Below are 25,239 nucleotides of genomic sequence, written 5' to 3'. Positions count from 1 at the left end.
AAAGCAGGACAGAGAAGAGATTAAAATTGTGGGCTCTAGAATCAAACCTGATTCTGCCAGTTACTAGTAACATTGCCATTTCTCATGTGTGAAATGGGAACAGTGACCTCACAGGGTCATTGTGAGAATTAAATTCACAGTACCTAGAACAGTGCCAGGTATGGAGTGAGTCCCCCGTGGTTGTTAGCTTTGGTGAGTGTCAACCACTGCCCTGGCCTCTCCCACCTTGAGCACCAGCACTGCTACAGCTGCCACTCCCCAGGCCCCTCCTTCCCCACTGCTCTTCTCATCTCAGTGAACCACAGCAATGCGAGGCAACACTCAGCCCTCGATGTGTCCAGGTGCCAGGCAGGCATCTTACTTGTCGTGTCTCACTTGATCCTGGCTACAGCCCTTTGAGGTGGGGCCTGTTACATTCTTCAGCCTTTACAGCAATGAAGCATCCAAGGTTAAATAACTTGTTCATGGTCTCAGAACACTAGAATTTGTATTCAGACCTGCTGATCTCTGGGCTCAGTCTCTTTGTAGTTATGTTCTGCCTTCCTGCCCCCCTATAGGACTTGGACAGAAACCCGAGGGTCATCTTTGACTTTTTCTTTCTCTTTACCACCCCTACCAAAATGCCACCAGTTGCCAAGTTTTGTCAGTTCAACCTGCTGAGTGTCAGGAGAGAGCTTCACTTCTTTATCCTCTCACCAGGATAATACATTTCTGAGTTTTAATATCTAATGTGACATTTTAACTGAGTACCTACTTTTTTTTTTTTTTGAGACAGAGTTACGCTCTTGTCCCCCAGTCTGGAGTAGAGTGGCAAGATTTCAGCTCACTGCAACCTCCACCTCCTGGGTTCAAGCCATTCTCCTGCCTCAGCCTCCCGAGTAGCTGGGATTACAGGTGCCCACCACCACGCCTGGCTAATTTTTGTATTTTTAGTAGAGACGGGGTTTCACCGTGTTGGCCAGGTTGGTCTCAAACTTCTGACTTCAGGTGATCCGCCTGCCTCAGCCTCCCAAAGTGTTGGGATTACAGGTGTGAGCCACCGTGCCTGGCCAACTGAGCACCTACTTTTTAAAAATTGAGCACAGTGTCAGGTACTGTGCTAGGCAAGAGGCTGCAACAGTCTGTAAGAGAAATGTGGTCCCTGTCCCCACCAAGCTCCTGATCAGTAAGTGACAGTCAGTGTGTCACACATGAGCATGGGGTTCTGAGCCCAGAATTTGGTAGTACCTAGGATCAAGGCAAACAGTTGTCATGGGTCCTGCTCTGCCATCTCCTGCTTAAGTTGCTACCACTAACTTGTCTCTGCCTTCTCATATTGCTCCCCCACCCATCTATTTTCTACAAAACACCAAGAGTATGTGTTCTTCAACAGCCCTGGCCCAAGACATTTTTCTGCCACCTCCTTTAAGATCAAGTTCAGAGTCATTAACATAACATCCAAGGCTCTTCACTGTCCAGCTTCTGTTGTCCTCTTGAGCTTCATGTCTTGCCACCTCTCCTATAGCAAGCCCAAAGCTGATTTTATTAGCTTTCCTTGAGTTTCTATATCATGCAAGAGAAAGAATGACTCAGATTAGATATATGCTTCTTCAGGAAGCTTGCCTTGATCCTAGGTACTACCAAATTCTGGGGTCAGTACCCCATGCTCATGTGTGACACACTGACTGTCACTTACAGACCGGGAGCCTGGTGGGGACAGGGACCACATCTCTCTTACAGACTGTTGTAGCCTCTTGCCTAGCACAGTTCGTGACACTGTGTTCAATTTTTAAAAAGTAGGTGCTCAGTTAAAATGTCACTTTAGATATTAAAACTCAGAACTGATTACCTCCTTGAGACCTTGCAGCTCACTAGTAGCAACAGTTGTAGTGGTTGGCAGCAGAGATTTCATTACCAAACTTGAATTCAAGTCCTGCCTCTGCTGCTTATGTACTCTAAGCCTCAGTTTCCTGCTTTGTCAAAAGGGATAAGAAATATGCTTTCTAAGGCTGGAAGAACAAGTGACGGAGGGCATGCCGACTGTCAAACACAAAACCTGTTTCTAGAAACAATCCTCAGATGGTAGGTTTCCATCCGAATGCCCAGTGCTCAGTGTAGCATTTGTGGCTGTGCACACGTGACACTGTCAAAGCCAGCTCTACTGATGGGCACACTGAGCTCTTGTTCACAGAAAATAAAAATGAAGAGTACAGATCATTCCATTAGGGAAATTCTCAGATTTTAAAAAGTATTTTATCCAATGATTCTTTTTGACTATGTAAATATCTCTAGAAAGACTAAACTCTACTGAAGTATGAAGATACCAACTTGGAATCCTTCCTAAGGTTCTGTTTATTCTTAAATAAAAAGAAATGATCATATTTTAATTTTAATGAAGTCCTAGGACTACTTAATGCAATTGCATATGGGCTGGCCTTCATGACTGGCAAATGCTTTTCATTTAGATTTATATGGCTGATTTCTCATGCATAAGGTACAGATTATTTCCATTTGTCAGTAGAATAAATATATTGCTATCTAACAGGTTTCAATGAAATATTTAATACTTTAATATCACAAATTTGAACATTGCTCATAAACTGAGTTAATAGACGGTATTTTGGAAGCAGACTGCCATGAGTTCACATCCTGGCTCCACCACCTATTACCACTGTGACCTTGGAGAAGGTGTTCAACATATCCAAACTTTTGGATTCCTTGTGTGTAAAATGGAGATACTGTTTGCCACCTTTAGAATTTGCTGGGTGGACAGAGGGAGGTTATGTGTAAATCATGCCACACAGCACCTGCCATGTAAGAGATACTCAGTTCTGCCTAAAAAAGCCACCATACTGTGGTCCCAGCTGCTCAGGAAACAGAGAGGAGGATTGCTTGAGCCTAGGAGGTCAAGGCTGCAACGAGCCATGATCACACCACTGCACTCCAACCTGGAAGTCAAAGCAAGACCCTGACTCAAAAAACAATACCAAAACGAAATCCACCAGACATCTTATTCTCAATATTACTCCACATTATTAAATTGGAAAGAGAACTATTTGAAGTTTGTTCACTCATGACTAAGTAATTGTTTCCAATCAGGATTTTGCACATTATTCGAGGAAGAAGATTTATGGTGACTTTTCTGTAGCCAAGCTTTTTAGCTGTATCTGCCCTCTACCGCAACAGAAAAATGTATAAGCTTAAGAATTATATAGTTCAAGGGTGGTGGGGTGGGGGGAGGTAGCTGGCAGTGTCTGACCCAACTCCGATCCCAACCCTGAAAAAAAATTAAAAAGAAATACAGTTTCTGCTGCTTAATAAGAATAGTGAAACTTTGCGATAATTAAATATAGTATTTGATAAGAAATCAGCTTGTGTTATTATTTTAGTGAGTTGTTTTAAAATTCCCAATGACCTAAATCACTTTATTGTACCACCACTATGAATCTGTTCACAATCTCACAACCCCCATAACTCCTATACTGTATAACCATTAATTACAGCAGGAACTTGATGAACCTACATGCAGTATAACTATCTATAAAGTAGTAAAGGTGCTAGTTTGACTACTGTTTATATTTATTATTGGTACTCAGTTATTTTCTATGATTATGATGAGAAGTGTAGAGAAGTGTGAGAAGTGTAAAACATAACAGAGCTAACTTTTTGGAGTGTTTGTTTCATGAAATTATTGGGAAATGTGATATTTATAAAAAGATGTTTCAATTCATGCATGGCTATTGCCTTTTAAGTACCTTACTGCTTTTCTCCTGATATTCCTTCCTATTAAATGCTTTCCTTAATTGATGTCTGTGCTCTCTCTCTCTTTCTCTCTCTCTCTCCACCTCCCTGGCAGTCTTTTCCCTATAAAAGGACCCATCTGTCTAAGGTAGAGATTCTCCATTTTTATATACTCATCAGTGCTAAGCTGCATGGAGTAGACGTGCTTATCATTTAGAAGTCTTGTTTAACTCTGCTTTTTCAATACAGTTTTTGTTTTGTTTTCCTTCAAGTAAAATCTGTTCTTTTCAGCCTGAGTTCAAGTACCCAAAAGTATGTCTAATTCCTAATCATAGTCCTAAAGCAAAGAATGCATTTTAAACTTGCTAACCCGTGGTAATTAAAAGTAATACTTGAAAAACTGATGCCCTTTTTAATATGTGACTCTGTATACAGAGAGTGAGAGAGAGATAGAAAAGCTCTTTAGAAAAGTGACTCATTTTCATTTGATTTTATTAGACTTGAATTTGAGAGGCAACAGCGTGAAGAACTTGAAAAATTAGAAAGTAAAAGGTAAGTCACATGGGGTTCAAGTTTCAACACTCCTGTAGTCTGGATTCCTGTGTTAATATCCTGGACTGATTCCATCTGTGTCTGCTTCAATACTTCCCCCTTGCTCTGTGTCTGTTATCTGTTATTTACATGTCTAATGACTGCAGGTCTTTTTTTTTTTTTTTTGGAGTAGATGGTTTTTCTTCAAGTTTAAATTTTTTTAAACGTTCATCTTCAAATATTTATGAGAAATGGGAAATAGAGTCAGTAGGCAAATTTAACACACCAATTAAATTTAATACACCAAAATGTATTCATTTAAATTTAATCAAAAGTAGATCTTCTCTTAATAATATCCCCTGAGTTTTTAAAAAGCCTGAAGAATGACAATTTGCCTTCCTTCTACCTGCCTGCTTTTAAAACATCTTTCCTGATATTGTTTGGCCATTTGTATTTCCCCATGTATAATTTGCTTTTCTTATTCTTTGCTCACTTTTCTTTTGTGTATGGGGGGGCAGGGTGGAGGGAGAAATGGCTGTTTAATTGATTTGGGCAGTTCTTTATATGTTCTGAAATAATTCTTTACCTGATAAAACTGTATTTTCTCCTTTTCTGTTTTTCCTGTCCTATTTAACCAGCCAAGACGTAGACCAAAGATGAGAGTTAGAGTAAAAACTAAGGCTATAGAAAATCTGCAAAGTAAATGTTTATTTAGTAGGACCTGGAGTTTAAATGTCACAAATAAACTGGCTTAGTTTCCAGCATCATCCAAGATAGACGTTTGGTGGGTCAGGAGGTGGAAGCCCAGTATTCCTGCTCTAACTCTGTGTTCTTCCTCTGGAGGCCATCCCAACCCTAAACTTCAGTACAGTACCCAGTGGAGATCATTTGTTCTCCAACAGAAAACACAACATGTCACCTCCCCACCAGCCTGCAAAATTATGCATTTTGTATATTCCAATGGAGGCTCCAGTTGTTTTCAGTGTTATGCACTAATAAACTAACATTTTGGACCATTTGGTGATCACCATTTGTCCCAAACTAGTGATTAAATGCTAAATAGTATGTATTTTTTAGCTGGAACAATGAACTGTCGATTATCATGACTTTGATATTTGACCCCAATGAGATGAGGACAGCATAAGCATTTTTATTTAATGTTGTCTTGTAACAACTTCTGTTGAGTTTTAGTCATTGGGCTGAATAAAGTTATTCACATTTAATTTAAATTGGGCATGGTTCTTTCTCTTTGAGCTCAGGGGCCTTTTAAAATTATATCATGCATAACACATTATGATTATATGCTCTACAAAGAAATGATATCAGAAGCCACTTCAGGAGAATAGGCAGGTGATATGTTGGACAGTTAAAAAATAAAAAAAATTAAACAGGATGCTGCTGGAAATTTAAAGGAAAGCAGTTACTCTTCTTTTTTTTATTTTAATGGAGGCTTTGACCTGGTTGTATGTGCATTTTCAGAACATTTCAGTAAAGTTAGAGCAACATTTGAACAATGACCAGATAACAACCAGTCAGTGCTTTGCATTTCAGGAAACTCATAGAAGAAATGGAGGAAAAGCAGAAATCAGACAAGGCTGAACTGGAGCGGATGCAGCAGGAGGTGGAGACCCAGCGCAAGGAGACAGAAATCGTGCAGCTCCAGATTCGCAAGCAGGAGGAGAGCCTCAAACGCCGCAGCTTCCACATCGAGAACAAGCTAAAGGATTTACTTGCGGAGAAGGAAAAATTTGAAGAGGAGAGGCTGAGGGAACAGCAGGAAATCGAGCTGCAGAAGAAGAGACAAGAAGAAGAGACCTTTCTCCGCGTCCAAGAAGAACTCCAACGACTCAAAGAACTCAACAACAACGAGAAGGCTGAGAAGTTTCAGATATTTCAAGAACTGGACCAGCTCCAAAAGGAAAAAGATGAACAGTATGCCAAGCTTGAACTGGAAAAAAAGAGACTAGAGGAGCAGGAGAAGGAGCAGGTCATGCTCGTGGCCCATCTGGAAGAGCAGCTCCGAGAGAAGCAGGAGATGATCCAGCTCCTGCGGCGTGGGGAGGTACAGTGGGTGGAAGAGGAGAAGAGGGACCTGGAAGGCATTCGGGAATCCCTCCTGCGGGTGAAGGAGGCTCGTGCCGGAGGGGATGAAGATGGCGAGGAGTTAGAAAAGGCTCAACTGCGTTTCTTCGAATTCAAGAGAAGGCAGCTTGTCAAGCTAGTGAACTTGGAGAAGGACCTGGTTCAGCAGAAAGACATCCTGAAAAAAGAAGTCCAAGAAGAACAGGAGATCCTAGAGTGTTTAAAATGTGAACATGACAAAGAATCTAGATTGTTGGAAAAACATGATGAGAGTGTCACAGATGTCACGGAAGTGCCTCAAGATTTCGAGAAAATAAAGCCAGTGGAGTACAGGCTGCAATATAAAGAACGCCAGCTACAGTACCTCCTGCAGAATCACTTGCCAACTCTGTTGGAAGAAAAGCAGAGAGCATTTGAAATTCTTGACAGAGGCCCTCTCAGCTTAGACAACACTCTTTATCAAGTAGAAAAGGAAATGGAAGAAAAAGAAGAACAGCTTGCACAGTACCAGGCCAATGCAAACCAGCTGCAAAAGCTCCAAGCCACCTTTGAATTCACTGCCAACATTGCACGTCAGGAGGAAAAAGTGAGGAAAAAGGAAAAGGAGATTTTGGAGTCCAGAGAGAAGCAGCAGAGAGAGGCGCTGGAGCGGGCCCTGGCCAGGCTGGAGAGGAGACATTCTGCGCTGCAGAGGCACTCCACCCTGGGCATGGAGATTGAAGAGCAGAGGCAGAAACTTGCCAGTCTGAACAGTGGCAGCAGAGAGCAGTCAGGGCTCCAGGCTAGCCTGGAGGCTGAGCAGGAAGCCCTGGAGAAGGACCAGGAGAGGTGAGATTGGGAAGGAAGGGTGTGGCATACAGTGGGTGCCAAATGAGTGCTCATTTTTCACTCCTCATGTTGTGTTTATCCTTTTTTTTTTTTAACTTATTCTTTTAGCCTTCATATTCTTTAATACATAGGCAAATGCTTATATTTGCCAGAACTGAGAAAAGTACTCCTAAACTTCTTGTATTTCTCCTTAGTGTCCTTCTTTTAGAATTGTTAGCCTAGAGTTGAAAAACACACAAACAAAAGCAAAGCCCATGTACATTATCCCACTGTCCTATGGAATGTGCGTGTTTTAATATTTTGATAAATGCAAGACTAGAAAGTTTCCACTTTGATTTCTCCTTCTTTCTTATCTCCCTTGCCTGTCTCCCTCTCTTTCCCCTTTCTTCTTCCCCTTCAGTTCCCTCCTCTCCCTTCCATTGCATCTATTTCCTCCTCCTTTCTCTTCCTTTGCCCTCTCTCTTTCCTCTCCCTCCCCTTTCTTCCTTCCCTCCTTGCCCCTCTCTGACTTGCTCCCTGTCTCTTTCCTTCTCTCCCTATTTTCTTCCCTCCTCCCTCACCTCTTTCCATCTCTACTTCCCTGCCCTTTCTTACTAATGATTTCACATCTTCTCCATGACCAGCACTTGTTGAAATAAGTATCATCCCTGGGTTCATGGTTTGCATACAGGCTACTGATTTCTGCAACATGTTGGGAATGAAAAAATCAATACTTCTCCCACCCCTATTGAGTCACAGTATTTAAGAGAAGGCCTCAGGACTCTGCATTATAAAACAGTCAACCGAACCAACAAACAAAACTCCAGATAATTCTGAACACAGTGGGATATTAGAACATGTTTGGTGATTTACTGATAGTATTTTTGTTGTTGTGAAAAATAAAACTAGGAAATTAGCACTCTTGTCTTGTAAGGTAAGAATATTTATCTTCCTTCACCTATTTTCTGTCACCATACTTACCAGACCATAAGTTCTCAAAATGCATATTATGTGAATTTGAGGACACCTTTTCTGGAGCCTTGAAGACTTGATGGCAAGACTCACAGAAAGGCCAACAGCCACCTGGGTGATGCAAACATCACCCAATTTGGAGACTTGCAAGAGGAATTTATGGCCTGGTTCAGCCCCTTCCTATCAAGATGGTAGCATGTTCCTACCTTGGGCAGGATCTTTCATCACTGGGCCTCAGTGTCACCACTTGTACAAGAAGAGGATGGATGAGATCACAGGGTCTTGCTCTGGGTCCAGGCTGGAGTGCAGTAGTGTGATCATAGCTCACTGCAGCCTCAAACTCCTGGGCTCAAGCAATCCTCCTGCCCCAGCCACCCAAGTGGCTGGGACCCCAGGTGCATACTACCATGCCTGGCTATTTATTTATTTATTTATTTATTTTATGTATTTTATTTTTTTAGAGATGGGGTTTCCCTGTGTTGCCCAGTCTGGTCTCAAACTCCTAGGTTCAAGCAGTTCTCCCACCTGAGCCTCCTAAAGTGCCGGGATTATAGTCATGAGCCACCACTCCCTGCTCAGTTGAGATCTTAACTGAAGCTCAGATTGGAGAGATGAAACCTTGCCCTCTCCGCAGTACTCCCCCCACCCACAGCACCTCCTAAGGGGGCTTCAACAGAAGTCCAGTGTACTGGCCAGGAGACCCCACCTTGGCATTTAGCTGATGCATGGGGCTGGTTGCTGATAACAAGGAAGACCTACTCAGAAGTGTTACTGTAGCTTCACCCATCACATTGCCTGAAAAGTTCAGGACAACCTCCATTCAAATGATTGGCTTATGCTATGGATTACATTTACCATCGCTGTCTGGTAGTTCCCTCAGGCAAAACAGCAACAAAATAACAATCAAAAACCCTAATGCTGTTATTTCAGAGAAATAGGTTGGAGGTTTAAAAAAATGATTGCAGGTATGTTATGTAAATGAAATTGCTAGACAAAGATCCAGCCCCAGGAACTTTAAAGTAGTGGAGGGCACACTCTCAATTTGTAGCCTGTAGTGTGCAATAAGAATGCAGCATGAGCTTTTAGCTTGATGTCCTTGGCTTTTGTCACCTGGCCATTTAGTATTAATACTGTATAATAGCAGACACAGTATTGCAGTTTCCACGGAAGTGATTACACAATGGGAGTGTTCCTTCAGAAGCCAAGTAAAGGGGGCTGTTAGCTTCATGAGTTTTGATGAAATAGACTTAGCTAAGTCCTAATTCAGGCCGACGGATTCCGGGCTCTCTGCTCTGACTGCGATACCCCCGCAGCTTTCTATGGGAATTTCTGTTGTGCTTCATTTTCTCCCAGGGTTCTCACGGCTAAGCCAGGATTCACCGTGCAGCCTGACTTGGCCCCTCGTAAAATTCCACAAGTGTGAAATATTAAATTCATGTGGGACCAGACTGGACAACAGTGTCCTGAACTTGGCTCTCCCATTGCCTTCTCAGTGCTTTATGAACCAGGTTTAATCCATTTTCCTGCCTTTTTTCCTACCACCTGCTCATTCCAGCTGCCCCATTGACATGGATCAGGTAACCCAACTAGAAATACCTCCCATCACCATAGCAGGGATAACAGAGGCAAGTTGTTAATACTCACACTTAATCCTGTTTTCTTGTCAGAGTCCTTTAACAATGACGATGATAATAGTCATGATGAAAACCATGAAGAATAACTCTGTGTACCTCAGATCCTGCTTTAAATGCTGTGTGTGCATTGTCATTTACTCTTCCAATAAAGGGTGCCATCGTCTACAGTTTACACATGAGGAAGCTGAAGCCTGCAGTGGTTGTATAACCACTGGGGATGAGTGTCACACAGTTAGAAAGTGGCAGAGTTGCAAGTCAGATCTCAATCTCATCACCCATCTCTGATCCACTTAGCCCTCTAGTCTTCTGACCATGTATCTGCCACACGGGAAGGCCAGCTTGTCCCTTGCCATCCATATAAATCTCACTCAGACTTCAGGATACCTCTCAAACCCTTCTTTGCTCTGTGGAGTCTTTTCCACTGGCCATTGGCCCTGTGCTGAAGGACAATTCTTAACAACCCCAGCAGGAGTTTTCTTAACTGTAAACATTGCTAATTGCCTGCCTACATCCAGCTCATTTTTTTTTTTTTTTGGCCATTGATGATACCCTATTAATATTGCTCCCCAATTATTTGGCCACCACCAGGCCTCTGACATCATTTTTTTTTTTTTGCTTATGTCTTGTCTTTTGAAAATACTGTGTGTTCCACAAATTGATGCTCTAGAAGTACTTGCTAATCAATAAACCCAGAAAGGGCTGAGTTAAACTGGGCACAGCCTCGTGTGGGTCCCATGAGTGCTTACCCTCATGACCCTGTGATCCATTTCTGAAAATTCAGAACTTGGCTTTCATGTTCAAGATAGAGCAGTCAAATTGCTGCTGGTGACACCAGAGGGTTGACAGCATCATGGTGTGTTGGCATCTGAAGCCAGAATCTCTGATTTTTAGAGCTGAAGGAATTGAGGGAGATTAGTTGACGCTCTCATTTGATCCATGAAGAAATTGAGACCCGTGTTTAAATAACTTCCCCAAGCTCACACAGTGAGTGGACTGCAGTCTCCTGCTTCCTGGGGCCAAATTCACTGGCAAGGTTGGCCCTCTGGCCTGATGGGGCTGGATTCAAGTATGCCTGGGCCGGTGGGAGAATGACCTTACACACATTTGACCTCATATAGATGTATCACTTATCACTGGAGGTTAATTTTATGGTTTATTTTAGTTTCTCATGGAACTCAACCTACTTTCCTAGGCCTGTCTTTTCTGCTTCCCCTTCCCATGCCCTCTGCCTTAGCCCAAAGTGGATGCCTGGTTTTCATGCCCTTGCCCCATTGCTCGTATTGCTTTCTGCACTTAGATAATCTTCTGCCGTCATCTCCAAATGACAACATTCCCACTGGCCTCTGGAGACTCAACTTAGAACTGCCATGGCTATGAAATTTCTCCTAGATTGGTGGTTTTTAAAACTCTTTAAAACATAGATCTTTTTCATCAAACGTAAGTATTTACCAGAACCCTGATGTGTAGTCCACAACCAACTCTTTTTGAAGCAGCAGTTAGAGGCCTCAGAATCCTATACACCTACCTCTAGGACTTGCTTGGAGCACAGTGGAGAGATCTTTGCTCTTGGTAGTCAAAATTACTCTACCTTCTGGATGCCTGCAGTGCTCGTCCTGGACCCTTCTTGTGGCCCATGGCACTTTATGTCTTGTCTTATGGGTATGTGGCACCTTTTCTACTAGAAGGTAAAGTTCTTTGCACACAGAGGACAGATCTTGTTCCCCCATGCTATCTAAAGCAATGTCTCACACAGTAAGGATGCTCGGGAAATACTATTAATGAATGAATTATGTGGCTCCTATCTGTGTAGGTTAGAATATGAAATCCAGCAGCTGAAACAGAAGATTTATGAGGTCGATGGTGTTCAAAAAGATCATCATGGGACCCTGGAAGGGAAGGTGGCTTCTTCCAGCTTGCCAGTCAGTGCTGAAAAATCACACCTGGTTCCCCTCATGGATGCCAGGTACTGGACATGAAAGTGATTCCAGGCTTCTCATTTGATGTGACTCAAGGACTCATTGTTTCTCTGTTGAACTACTTTGTATCTGGAGGGCTCTATTAAGGGCAACAAGTAATACACGTGCTTGAGATGTGCTCTGCCTTCATCTGCCATTGGCCTGCCAGTGGTAGGGTAAGGGGTCATTTCAAGAAAATCAAGGACTTGAGACCTGGCTAGCCAGATCCAAGGAATCTTGTTGCAGGTACAGTTGTCCCTTGATATCTGCAGAGGATTGGTTTCAGGATGGCTCTTTGATACAAAATCCACACATCCTCAAGTCCACCTGTTAGCCCTCTGGAACCTGCGGTTAGAAAAAGTTGCCCTCCATGTATTTTCAATCTTTGTATAGTTGTGGATGTGGAACCACTAATAGGGAGGTCCAGCTGTATTTATTGGAAAAAACTGACATGTAAGTGGACATGTGCTGTTCAAACCTGTGTTGTTCAAGGGTCAAGTGTGGTTTGAGTGAGAGGGCGGAATGAAAAGTTGCAGGGAAAGCAGCTCATCCAGCACAAAGTGAGGCAAGGCCAGGTTGACAAAAACGAAGACCTAGAATTAACTGTACCAAGAAGAAGGACCTTGTGTTGACAGTTAATTTATGTGTCATGGATTACAAATAGATGAAGTTTGTTATAAAAACTACTAGTATATTCAGAATGATTGTGAGTATAATAAATCTGTATCTGATGTTACTTTAGTTAAGTGATTTTCAACTTAGGTGGCATTGTGTATTGCTCTGTGGCTTAGAGCCCTTAGAAAAATCAGCTTAATTATTCTTTGCCTGTAAGAAAACAATGATTACCCTTCTTCACTCCATTTAAACATGGGAGCATTTGAAATCGGACAGTCTTGAACCCTAGATATTAGGAGATATATATTTGGATATCAAAATGTACTCAGAATGGCATGAGCCTCATATCTCACAGGGTTACTTTCAAATTTAAGTGACTATCAGGGGTGATAAATTGTAAATGGCCTTCACTCATGTTCAGTAGCACACAATTTTGTTTTCAATATTGAAACAGAAACATTGTGCTTTATTTGGGCTCTTTTACCTAAAATTTTAATCTCTTTGCCTAGCATTTTAGAAAATCTTTTCTCTGTGGTCAGTAGTATAGAAATGATTGCAGGATTATGCATGTGTTTATGCAGATTTACTTATTTATTTAGTGAATGTGATAAGATATAAACATGGAAACCATTTAATTTAAAATAATCCATCCGGCCGGGCATGGTGGCTGACGCCTATAATCCCAGCACTTCGAGAGGCCGAGCCAGGCAGATCACCTGAGGTCAGGAGTTCAAGACCAGCCTGACCAACATAGTGAAACCCTGTCTCTACTAAAAATATGAAAATTAGCCGGGTGTGGTGGCGGGTGCCTGTAATCCCAGCTACCTGGGAGGCTGAGGCAGGAGACTCACTTGAACCCAGGAGGCGGAGGTTGCAGTGAGCCAAGATCATACCACAGCCCTCCAGGCTGAGAGACAAGAGCGAGACTCTGTCTCAAAAATAATAATAATGCATCTAATCAGTACCTGTAGAATTGGAGGAGGGGAGTCTAGAACAGAATGACTTCCATTTGGGCAGTCTCTGCCATTACAAAGATTTTCGATGAAGATAAAATTCTCTAGTCTCTCTGTTTCCTCCAGGTGGAATGACCTAAAAACATTGAGGTGGAATGACCAGAGATTAGACCAAAATCCACTGAGGTGGTCAAGGCTGATAGTTTTGCTTCATACAACTTCACCTACATTTTATGAGATATCAGATAATAAGTTGACACTGCTTCAAAAGTCAGTGGTGTTTGGCTTCATCTCTGTTTTGGGCCTGTCCTAGGCATTTTGGAAGGTAGAGACCTTTACGATGTGGTCTTGCTGGCCAGGTACAGAGAACCCATTTGGAGAGACGAGACAGACCGGGAATACAAGTGTGCTAGACGCTGTTCAATCTGAATGAGGAAGATTTGTAGAGAGCATGTCCATTTCTTGCTTATTATTTTTTTCTTTTTTGGTAATCCTCATACATGACCTTGAGATGTGAGAAATAACTATCATCTGTATTATCCTTTTCTGTATGAGGAACCCAAGGCTCTGAATGAAATATTCTGTCTTGGCATCAGATTAGAGACCGCAGAGCCTTCTGAAGCCAGTGACTGATTTTCTTCCATCCTGCAGCGGGCATTCCACTAAGGACGTGGATGGGATCACTTAGTCTCCTTTCCATTCCCAATATTCTATTACTTGTTCAGTTCTACCTCATTTGGGCAAAACCCAGATAGTGAACATGTAGCACCAGATTTCTTGAAAAAAATAAAAATGTTGAAGTTCTCAAGTTGTTGTTAGGTTTGGTATTTAGAAGGAGATTGCTCCCTGTTGTGAAGGGCGTAGTAAAGAGAGGATCTCAGAATGTCCTGTGTGGTTAGAAGTGTCAGATCTACTCCATCTCCATTGTGTTACAGGATCAATGCTTACATTGAAGAAGAAGTCCAAAGACGCCTTCAGGATTTGCATCGTGTGATTAGTGAAGGCTGCAGTACATCTGCAGACACGATGAAGGTAAGCTGAAGGAGCCAAGTAACACGAAGTAACAAGTTCGTTCATCTTTCTTTTTTCCTTTTTTTTTTTTTTTTTGAGACTGAGTCTTGTTCTGTCACCTAAGCTGGAGTGCAGTGGCACCATCTTGGCTCACTGCAACCTCCACCTCCCAGTTCAAACAACTCTCATGCCTCAGCCTCCCAAGTAGCTGGGACTATAGGCGCCTGCCACCACACCTGGCTAATTTTTGTATTTTTAGTAGAAACAGGGTTTCTACCACCATGTTAGCCAGGCTTGTCTCAAACTCCTGACCTCAAGTGATCTGCCCATCTCGGCTTCCCAAAGTGCTGGGATTACAGGTGTGAGCCACCACACTCAGCCCATTTGTCTTTCAAGATGACCTTGAAGATAAGTTTTTGGTGGTAGTGGTGGGGTCTTTTGTTTTCCAGTGAGAAAATTCAGATGTGGAATGTTCTAGAAAAAAATATTAAATATTGCTTGGGCAGAGTGTAACAGTTTATAAATAGTATTAATTCAGGAATTCAGGAGTAACTTTATTTTATAATTTTGTAATTATGACAACTTTTAAGTGATTATAAAGTCTAAAATACTTTTTAATTCTACATGCAACATTCTTCTGTTTTCTTCCAAAATACTTCCAATTTCCGTAGTTATTTATTTTGTAAATTATCCAAAATATAAATAGAATTTTGACTTTTAGAAGATACATATTTGTGACAAGTCTATACTGAAATAAAGACAATGCATTTCTATCCTGCAAATTAAGAAATGCCCTAAGGAGATCTTGTTTTTAATATTATTCTTAGAATTTTAAGATTAGGAGTAAGTGTTTCAGTTCTCTGATGGCAGATGGATCAATAGAGTCATGTTTATCTTGGGGATGTAAATTATATAGAAGGGTTGTCATTGTTGAATGACAAGTATGTTTATTTAGATTTCCATTCCCATAAATACTTGTAATCGAATCAGTCCCCCGCCCCGTGAACTTGCTATAATTTAATATAGAGGGCTTTTTCTTTTCTTTTCAGGATAATGAGAAACTTCACAATGGCACCATTCAACGTAAACTAAAATATGAGGTAGGTAATGATTTTTCAGATTGATAGGGTCGCCTTAAATTATGGCATGCTCATGTGATTACATTTTCTTAATGTCTAGTTGCATAATTAGAATTTTGAGGTCCCGGCAAGATTAATGGCTAATAGGGAAGGCAAGCTATTATATGGACTTAAAATTAAACGGAATCCTGTAGTTTGAAACTGCTTTGACTTTATTTGAATGGCATGTAGCTGTGGTGGAGCTTTGCCCAGTTTTTCATTTGTAATAGTATATTTTCCCTTGGTCTGCATTTAAAAGGCAGAATTATATAATCAGAATCAGATATGGGGTTTGGAAATGAAACTCAGTACTCCTCCTGTCCATTTTATAGACTGTGAGTTGGTAGTAGTATAAAGGAAATACTCTTGATTGATTAACTTGTTTCTCTGGTGGATTGTCAAACCAAGGTTTATTTGGGCATGCAATTTGTAAGGTTTCACTGGTATTCTCCTCCACTGAGAGGCATGTCTCTCCCATATATTCCTAAATTTTAAAAAATCAACCCCCAAAAAATAGTAGGTGATGGAAATTTTCCAGATGGTGTCCATACATTACTGAACAGACAGCAAGAGGTGGATGTTCACAGAGGCTGAGCTGACTTTGGCCGCAGCCACACCCTCCTGCCAGTCATCCAGTAATGATGTGATCTTTCCCTGGATAGCCATTTCCCTCCTCTACAGAGCAAGACACTGGCTTTCATTTCTTTGTGTCCATAGTACCTGGCACATAGCAGGTGCACAGTAGTCCTTCCATGGTGATGACTTGTAGATAAGAGTAATGATAATTACTGTTAATGTTCATGGGAACATTTGATCCCCATGAAACAAACCAAAAGGAGAGAGAAATGTAACCTGGGTTAGAACACTTGGGCATTTCTTTTGGCCTTGCCATCTGATTTTCATTAAGTTTGCCTTGATTGCATTTTGGACATATGATCATGGACTTATTTTCATAACTAAATTTGACCTTCTAAACATTGAATCAGAGGGCTTGGAATTTATTGTAGGGAAAATGAAATATTAGATCAAGACGTGGGTACTGTGGATCAACCCCATACAAAGTATTTCTATCAAAATTCTCAGTGATTTATAATATATATATAATATGGAAAATTGATGTTCTATGTATGAATCAGATAATCGATTCTTTAATCATGTATCAATACAAATGGCTTAGACTTTTTATTTAACCTCTGAATTAATCTACCCAATGAAACCAATGACAAGAATCATCATGTGCAAAAGAATCACAGAAAGAGATACCACATCCCCATTTCAACTTTTTTTGACACCTTGAACAGAAAAGGCAGTTTTGCCCAGCATGGTATCTTGACCCGCTTCTGCCCAGAGATGCCACTGACACTTCCAGCCTCATTAAAGAGGAGAGGAGGGAGGTGGATCAGAACGACCACTGGGATCATCCCATGCTGTGGAGCGTCTCAGGCCCTAAAACAACTTCCTCAGCATCACAAGAGAGAACTCACCAGCAGAGGGATCAGTCCTCAGTACCCGAGGTATTCCAGGACAGTGAAAACAAATATGGTCATCCTGAGCATGCTGGCCATTTTGAACCAAAATGTTTTAATCTACCTAAAATCTCTTTTCTTAACGAAAGTAACACCGATGATGCAGAAGATTTTCAGAGTCAGTCAGAAAATTTCAGTGAGCTGATGACTCATAAAGATAAACATGGCTTGAGAGTCAAGTCCAGTTGGACTTTGCTGCAACATACGTCCCAAGAAGTGTCTATAAATAGCGGAGGCAAGCAGGCCAGGCAAGGCAAGGTGCTCTGCTTGGTTCTGTCTGAAGGCATTTCCCATGAGGAGAGAGCATCCTGCAGTGCCCCGCAGAGCGTACTGGCGTCTGAGTTTTATAGTGAGCAGCAAGGTGAGGAAGAGTTGGATGCTAAAAAAATGAGCTCATCGGAGTCACTGGTAAATATCAGAACAGAAGGAAACAATGGACTGGGATATTTTTACCACAAGTTCTCAGACCTTTATAAAGATACCAGCAGTCACCTGCTTCAGGCTGGCACAAAGGTGATCAGCCAAGCCAGGCTTGTGGGGAATCTGTGTGCCCCGAGGGGGCTCCCCTCCCAGGTAACAACATTCGTCAGAAGCCTGCCATTTCTGAAGCACTTAGCCCCACACATGCCCTTGAAGACTGACATGCAGTCAACAGAATCTCATTCTCCGGAAGCTCGGGTTGGCAGCAGCGAGAGCGAAGCTGCAGGGAGCCTGAGGCCAGCAGAGGGTGCGGCGCCTTACCGGGCCTCTGTCTTTGCAGCTACAGGTTTACCAGGTTCCTCGCCAAGCTCAGTTTTTCGCCTTGAATATGAAGATGCTAGAAAGAGCTCTGCATTTAAGCAGAGCCTTGTGCAATTCCCGGACCAAATGCTGAAACTGCAAGAGTGCCCTTTAAAAGACCTTCTTAGGCATGTGACTTGTTCTCTACCAGAACCTTTGGGCAACATGAAGGAAGTCAAAGGCATTTACTGGCTTGCTGTTGCTGCCTGCACAGCACCTGACCCTCAACCAGCGTGTTTGCTCCTGCTTCAGTCAACTTTATATGCTTTGGTCCTGTCAGATAATCTCGGCTCAATGAGCATTTTTCATGCTCTACCTCTCTCTGGTCTACAGGAGATTCAGATTGGCTTTGGTGGACAGAGTGTTCGATTCCTGAGCTCTGCAGAGGGTCTTCTGCTCACTGTATTCAGTTACAACAAATACCTCTCTCAACAGCTGTGTCGTGACCTCCTGTGTGTCCTGATGCCAGAGCCTGATGCCGCTGCCTGCGCTAATCATCCCTTGCTCCAGCAAGATCTGGTTCAGCTTTCTCTTGATTGGAAAACAGAAATCCCTGATTTAGTTTTGCCAAATGGAGTTCAGGTGTCATCCAAATTCCAGACTACCTTGGTTGACATGATTTACTTTCTTCATGGAAATATGGAAGTCAATGTCCCTTCCCTGGCAGAAGTTCAGTTACTGCTCTACACAACAGTGAAAGTCATGGGTGACTCTGGCCATGACCAGTGCCAGTCGCTAGTCCTTCTGAACACCCACATTGCACTGGTGAAGGAAGACTGTGTTTTTTATCCACGCATTCGATCTCGAAACATACCTCCTCCGGGTGCACAATTTGATGTGATCAAATGCCATGCTTTAAGTGAATTCAGGTGTGTTGTTGTTCCAGAAAAGAAAAATGTGTCAACAGTAGAACTAGTCTTCTTACAGAAACTCAAACCTTCAGTGGGTTCCAGAAATAGTCCACCTGAGCACCTTCAGGAAGCCCCAAATGTCCAGTTGTTCACCACCCCATTGTATCTTCAAGGCAGTCAGAATGTCGCACCTGAGGTCTGGAAACTTACTTTCAATTCTCAAGATGAGGCTCTTTGGCTAATCTCACATTTGACAAGACTCTAAGGAGGAGACTTTTAAAGATGCACTACATGTTTTTTGAGATCATTAATAAAATAAGCATTGTGAAAACAGTCAAGGCAATATGAATATCTCCGTGTAGCTAATTGAATTGGAACTGGAAAAATGCAGACCTCTAAAATTGAAAATGTAAATATTTTAAATATCTACAATAAAATAAAAACAGCTAATAGCAGAGCCCCAATAAAATATCTTTATCATCACCTTGCTTCATTTTCTTGAAACTCAGGCTTGTAAATTTGTGCCTGCTTCATTATTTGTGAGGTGATTAAAGCATTTCTGATTGTTTGTTTTCGTGTCGATTTATAGTGTGGTGGCTTGGAATCTGTCTGTGCCTACTGGATTCCAGCAGGCTAATCTGTGCTGCCTGAAAAAGTGCCCAGTCTAGCAGTGACCTTCATTGACATCCTTGGTTTCAGCTGTGATTAGGATAATTATGTAGCAGAGCACATTAGTGATGCATCAAGCTTCCTATGAGGACCCGGGGATTGAAAGTGTCCTCCCATCACCATGGTATGCGGAATCGAGACAGTGATGCATGCCCTGCAGTGTCTTCTTCCTCACTTAATTGCCTTTACCTTCCTCCTTTCATACTTCTTGATGATTCCCTTTTAACTCTTGCGATTTCAGCTCCTCACTTGGTGTATTTGTGGCTATTCCACCTAACCCGTATCCCTCACCACCACCATATTCCAGTTCTTTCTCAGAACTTTTGTCTCTCTATCCTGTAAGTCTCTTTATCTCAGAGTCTCACTTTCTCTCGTGGCTTCTTTCTGCTGTCTTGTCAAATATATAGTCCCCTTAGAGGTACCTTCCTCTGGCATCTCACCCAGCCACCACTTATAACCTTTGATTGAGGTCTCCTACTGGCCCCAGCTGGTCAGTTTGCTGGCCTCCCTTCTCAGGCGAGTTCCCTGCTGCATCTGCCCAGGGTGGAGCTTCTCTCTCCATGAAGCTCCACCCAGTAGTCAGCTGCCTCCTCCTAGGTAAGAGGCTGCAAACTGTGCTCTTCAGGGTCTCTAGCTCCTCTGATCAACCCTTTCCTCTCTGTCCCCCTCTGTCCAAAAATCCTATCAGGTTACATATTTTGTATTTGTTTTTAATTTCACCTGACCCTAGGTGCTCTGCCACTGTTCTCCCCTCTCAGGTGTGTGTTCTCCTAAATCTAGAGTTCTCAGAAGGAAGGAGACGTGCTTCTGTCTTGCTCAGCCCACCCTCCATCCACTCTCAGCCAAACCATCTTTAGCCCACAGTAGCTCTCAGTGGACGTTGGATGCAGCTGAGTGAGTCAGTGATTCTCGTGGCATGGAAGGGGCATTTTCTATTCTGGTCAAATATTTGGATAAGTGCAACATAAATGTTGTAGTGCCTTCTTCATTTCTGTTCCTAACCAATGACGGAGATGGTGTCAAAGCTTAACACACACAGAAACTTACCATCTTCCTTTGGCCAGGAACTGCTCATCTTCCCTCTTTCCCCTGACGGAGGAAATGACAAGCTACCCACACTGGGTCTACATTCCCACCTATTTTCCTCTACCTAGTGTTGCAGACATGAACAGGAAAAGACAGGGAATTGGAGAATGTGTTACGATCCACAGACTGGTGGCTGCAGCCATGTGTGCTTCTGACCAGTGGAGGCATTTGGTTTTTTGAGGCAATTGGATTCTCATGTTTTTCATTTCCAAAGCACCCCCTACCCCCACACATAAATACCTTATTACCTTATACCTAAAGGCTTTTAACTCTTTGATGAGGACATCATTAAAAATAGTCACTAATTTGTCATTATCTTGGTTGGTAGGTCATCTTCCCTCATGAACAAACACTCCTAAAATGTACCATGATAGTTTTCTAATATCTTAATAATATTTCTCCTAATTTATTTTTATTTTTTTAACTTTTTAAAACTAATATATTTTGCATTCCTTTTTTCAAGTTGTTCCATCCAGTATTTTCTCATATTTTCTTGATAAGAAAAAGAGTTATACTGCAGTAGTCTTGTCCAAGTTAAAAAAGAAAGAAAGAAAAACAATTAATGATTATGAAGGGCAGAGGGAATAAATTTTAAGATGCCAGCAGAGGGATGCCATGGTCAGGAAGAAGGGAGTGATAAATAAACTGTACATAATTTTAACAAAGAGTGTTAAATATTAGACAGATGTGCTTATTCGCACAGGTACAGAAGCATAATTCCACCATGTTGTAAATCATGGCCTTTAGGATTTCTCAGAGATGGAACATGCAGCAGATACGAGCATCGTATAAAAATCATATCACTCATTATAACTTCTGCAGTCTGCTTTATGATCTAAGAAGGCCACAATGAGGATCATGTTCAGATTGTACCACATAATAGAAGCAGCTTGCAGCATTCAGATTCAGCATGTCACTTCTCTCACCTAAGCATACTTTGTACCTCGAGATAAAATATAGTTCCTCTGTGTGAGAGTTTGATTTACTCTCTGTGAAGTAAGTATTAAGGTTGTCGTGATGCCTGTGGAAGCCAGTGGAGTATTGTTGGTGCCATTATCCACTGTGATTTCAATCCTAGTAGCTCCCTCTGCTGTGGCTTCAATCCTAGGAGCTCCCTCTGCTCGTTTCTTCAGGAGTTCTAAGCCTACAGCACCCCTAGAGTGGAGCAACTATGAGAGTCTGAGTATTCAGCCTGCTATAACGACATCTCGGCTGTAATGAGTTTCTGAATCAGAAAAAAATAGACGCATACATCTTGGTTATGTGGCATTCTGCATTGTTATAATATAGGCATAAACATTTATATTGTGGGACTTCTTAATACATTCTAGACAATAGCTCTTTGAATACTTTTGAAATAGTGATTTCATCTGAATTTGATTAAAATCCATTTTGTGCACAGCTGCCTGTTTTACAGACTTGTGGTTGGCAGGATGAATTTATTTAGTCTTTGTTGAAAAACATTTCAAAACAGTGTGTCTCCCTGTTCTCATTACTTTAAAAATGTGCATGCATCCCTTTGGAAGAGAGTACTTAAGCCTTCCAGCAGTAGTAATTACAGTAATTTTTGCTTACATTCTCTTTCCCAGATGATTTAAAGCTTTGTATGATAAATAGATTAGAGCCACTTTTATTAATGCTCCTTTGATGATCAACCCGGCTTATTGGATAGACCAGTTTCTAATGAGGTCATTTTGTTAATTTAGTTACACAATTTCCAGTATGTAGCTTAGACAACTCTGCCTCATTCCTTAGAATATCTATTGTGACAGATGTTATATCAGTCTGCAATTGCCAAATAACAAACAACCCCCCCAAATTTCAGTGGCACATTAAAAAAAGTTTTTATTTTATTCTGCTGCTTTGCAAGTAGATTGGAGTGGCTGTGCTGTACGCTGCAGGTCATCTGTTGCTCAACCAGGGTCGGTCTGCTCCACACATATCATTTTGGGACCTATTCAGAAGGGGCAGTAGCCATCGTGGTGATGACAGAAACACAGAAGGGCAGTCCTGCAAGCCTTTGCCTGTGTCTGCTAACATCTCATTGGCCAACACAAGTCACATGACCAAGCCCCAAATCAAGGGGCAAGGAAGTACCCTCCGTCCATCAAGAGGCCATGGTGAGACTCAGGATATGTACTACTACTATAGGGAGAGAAGAATTAGGACCGGCAATTAATTTTCCATGGATGTATTATGTCAAGGTTCCCAAAGCTCTATTACAGATAAGACTCAGATAAAACTTGTAGGACTTCTCCCTAATGGAAACATTAAGGTACCGGGAAGAGTATGCCCTAGGACCTTTTAAGTTACATATTCAATTTGAGTACCTCCATGGATGGGCTGATTGCCTTCTACCTCTGAAGCAGTTTTTTCATTGGGAGCTGCTCTTACTGTTACACTATTCTTTCCGTAATCTCCCTTATTGTGATCTCCATCTGCAGAGTCTGTTCATCCGTGGCACCCTCTGTTGCAGAATAAAACAAGTGTATTTTGTAATCTGCATTATACACAACCCTTCAGAGAAGACACTTCTCATATATCTGCCTCCTCTGATTTTTCTCCTTTACCTCCAACACCCTTCCGTCTCTCCACTGTTTCTTAAACAGTACATTTTTCAAACCATCACCATCAAATCTCTTGTTAAGGATGCAGTGTTGTAGTATGCTAATGCCTTCTTTATGAGGGATGGAATTGAATAAACTAGTTGATGAGAAGGAAAGAGATTCTATTATAAGTCACTCCTCCTGCCTTTTACTATCTGGTTAAAATCTTTTGTTGCTGAAGGTGTAGTGGGTTATAGGGGTGACAGCAATCCCAGTCACTGTTTATATTGTGGTTTACAATGTAGGACTTCTTGCTCATATTTTGTTCCTTTTGATATTTATGGTGATCCTACTGGAATGTAGGAATTCACGTGGAACTCCATTTCAGATTTGGAAATTTAGACTCAAAAAGGATTACTAGGTTGAGAATTGGGACTTAAATCTAGACTTTTCTACTCTAGAATATATATATTTGTCCACAGTGCCAAAGCCATTTCATAGTCACTGTTATTCTTGACATTGGTAAAATTTTTTATTGATTTTTTTATAGGAATGACTATGCTAGAAATATATATTTCCAAGTATTGCTAAGTTGATTCTTAACTGACCTGTAAATTTGTTTTCTTGGAATTCTAGACATTAATAATTCTGTCTGTATGAGTTGTTGTTTTCAAGGATTGCCTTACAAGTTTCTTTTCAATTCCTTTTATTTCCTTGCATGGATCTTACTTCTCTTTGCGCTCTGCTTTTTTAGCTCTGTAAAAGAAAGCTTAGACACAGTCATAGCGTGAATTTGATGCACATAAGTTTGTATGTTTACTTTTGCTTCTTTGGCTGGAAGTGCATCCCTGCCTTTTATTTTCTCCTGGGCCTTAGCATTCAGCATGGTTTGACCCAAAGCCAGGGCTCAGCAAAAAATCAGTGAGTGAACATCAGTGGTACTTTTCATGATTAATCAATGACATTGTACAATTATAATAGAAGGGAGAATATCCACTTTTCCCTGAGGGTCCTAACCTGTCTGCATTCATGCTTAATAGTGAGAGCCACTTAGCAGTTGTTGCGACATTATCAGTCAGGTATAATAGACCCCATATTTAATCTTTTTAAAATCAGCCGTTAATTGATACATTGTTCAAAGATGATGACCACTTAATACAATGATCTTTGGTGATCTAGAGAAAAATAGTGACACTTTTAATAGTTTCAAGTTGAAACATTCATCCAATATTCAATATTTCCAAACCTTGAAACAATGTTGGTCGGCTCAGATCTATGTAGAAGAAATAATTGATTCTGGTGAGAATCATGGATTGGAAATGTCAACTAAACCTTTTGGAGTTATCCAAAGGCCGCTAAACTTAAGATATTCTACAAGTACCAATGTCCAACAGTTTGCCATCTTCTGGGTAACTTATCCCTCAGGATATATATCAAAACTTGTATTTGTTTCCTGATGTGAGTCTTCCAGACTCACTTTAGAAATGAGATAAGGTTAGCACTGTTTCTCCACACCAGGCTATTGTTAAGTCCCATCCTTCACAGGGATGGACAGGATGTATCTGTAGCATATATGGCCACGTCTTGGCAAAATCCAAATCAGATGTATTTGCCAAGCCTTCGAAGACAGTGTAGTGTTAATTAAGACAAGATCCCCTCATAGCAAAGGCAGGCTTCTCTACTGGAAATGGATAGGAACCTGTCTGGTTATTTACCATATACATCATTTGTGCTTGTTCCTGCATGTTATCTTTGTTCCCTGTTTCTTACAACCTGGCTGATGTTTGAGGCTATAACAAATCTTCATTGTCTCTTTCCCCAAATCTTCGTCGTCTCTTTCCCCAAATCTCCATTTTCAAATTGTTGGGGCATAATAGGTACTTGAGACATAATAGCTCTAATTAGAACTATCAGTATAGTATGTGTAGTTGAAAAAAGGAAGGATTAGAAATATGTGCTATGGTTGGAACAGGGACAGGAGAATTTGTAATTTTGTTAAATCTAATAAAAAGCCAGGTTTGCCTGTATTTCAGAAGCAAAGCTTGGCTATGGGCTTCTGGAGATTAGATGGCAGTCCTTAGGCCAGACCTTGTCATGATGTGTATACTGAATTTGACCGTCTGGTACATAATTAGAATGTTTAGGGACAACTGTTAATGACTCCCTGAGGACCTGGACCGTTTCATGTTCTCTGAGAGCCCGCAGAGATCTGAGTGGATGTAAGTGCCGCTTCCTGTTCATTTCCTCAATTTGTTCCTTTTGAAGGAAATAGCCTGAGTAGTAAAAGAAGACTTTGAACTGAATATTTACAATGTACCTTATGTTCTGCCTATTTCTTTCAGCTAAGGACTGGACTACAGTGTTTCACCAAGAATGGAAAAAT

At 41.5% G+C, this 25,239-nt stretch overlaps 1 protein-coding gene across 17 annotated transcripts in view; it reads left to right on the top strand.

Moving 5' to 3' along the window:
* KIF16B (kinesin family member 16B) overlaps positions 1-25,239 on the top strand; it is a 301,345-nt gene that overhangs the window by 187,483 nt on the left and 88,623 nt on the right. For 3 of the 17 annotated variants that reach the window (XM_006723588.4, XM_005260754.4, XM_005260753.4), the window contains exons 18-23: positions 3,836-3,868; positions 4,219-4,272; positions 5,803-7,161; positions 11,557-11,709; positions 14,205-14,301; positions 15,330-15,380. In XM_006723588.4, coding sequence (XP_006723651.1) covers positions 3,836-3,868; positions 4,219-4,272; positions 5,803-7,161; positions 11,557-11,709; positions 14,205-14,301; positions 15,330-15,380 — 1,747 coding nt within the window. Of the gene's footprint in view, positions 1-3,835; positions 3,869-4,218; positions 4,273-5,802; positions 7,162-11,556; positions 11,710-14,204; positions 14,302-15,329; positions 15,381-16,699; positions 19,124-25,239 lie in introns of those variants that run through there. The other 14 variants (XM_017027926.2, XM_047440262.1, NM_024704.5 and 11 more) reach the window with 8 other exon arrangements.

Source organism: Homo sapiens, chromosome 20 (genome assembly GCF_000001405.40).
Source record: "Homo sapiens chromosome 20, GRCh38.p14 Primary Assembly".
In the NCBI taxonomy this organism is placed as follows: Eukaryota; Metazoa; Chordata; class Mammalia; order Primates; family Hominidae; genus Homo; species Homo sapiens.
Note: the sequence above shows the minus strand (reverse complement) of the source record. Positions and strands in the feature narration are given on the sequence as shown.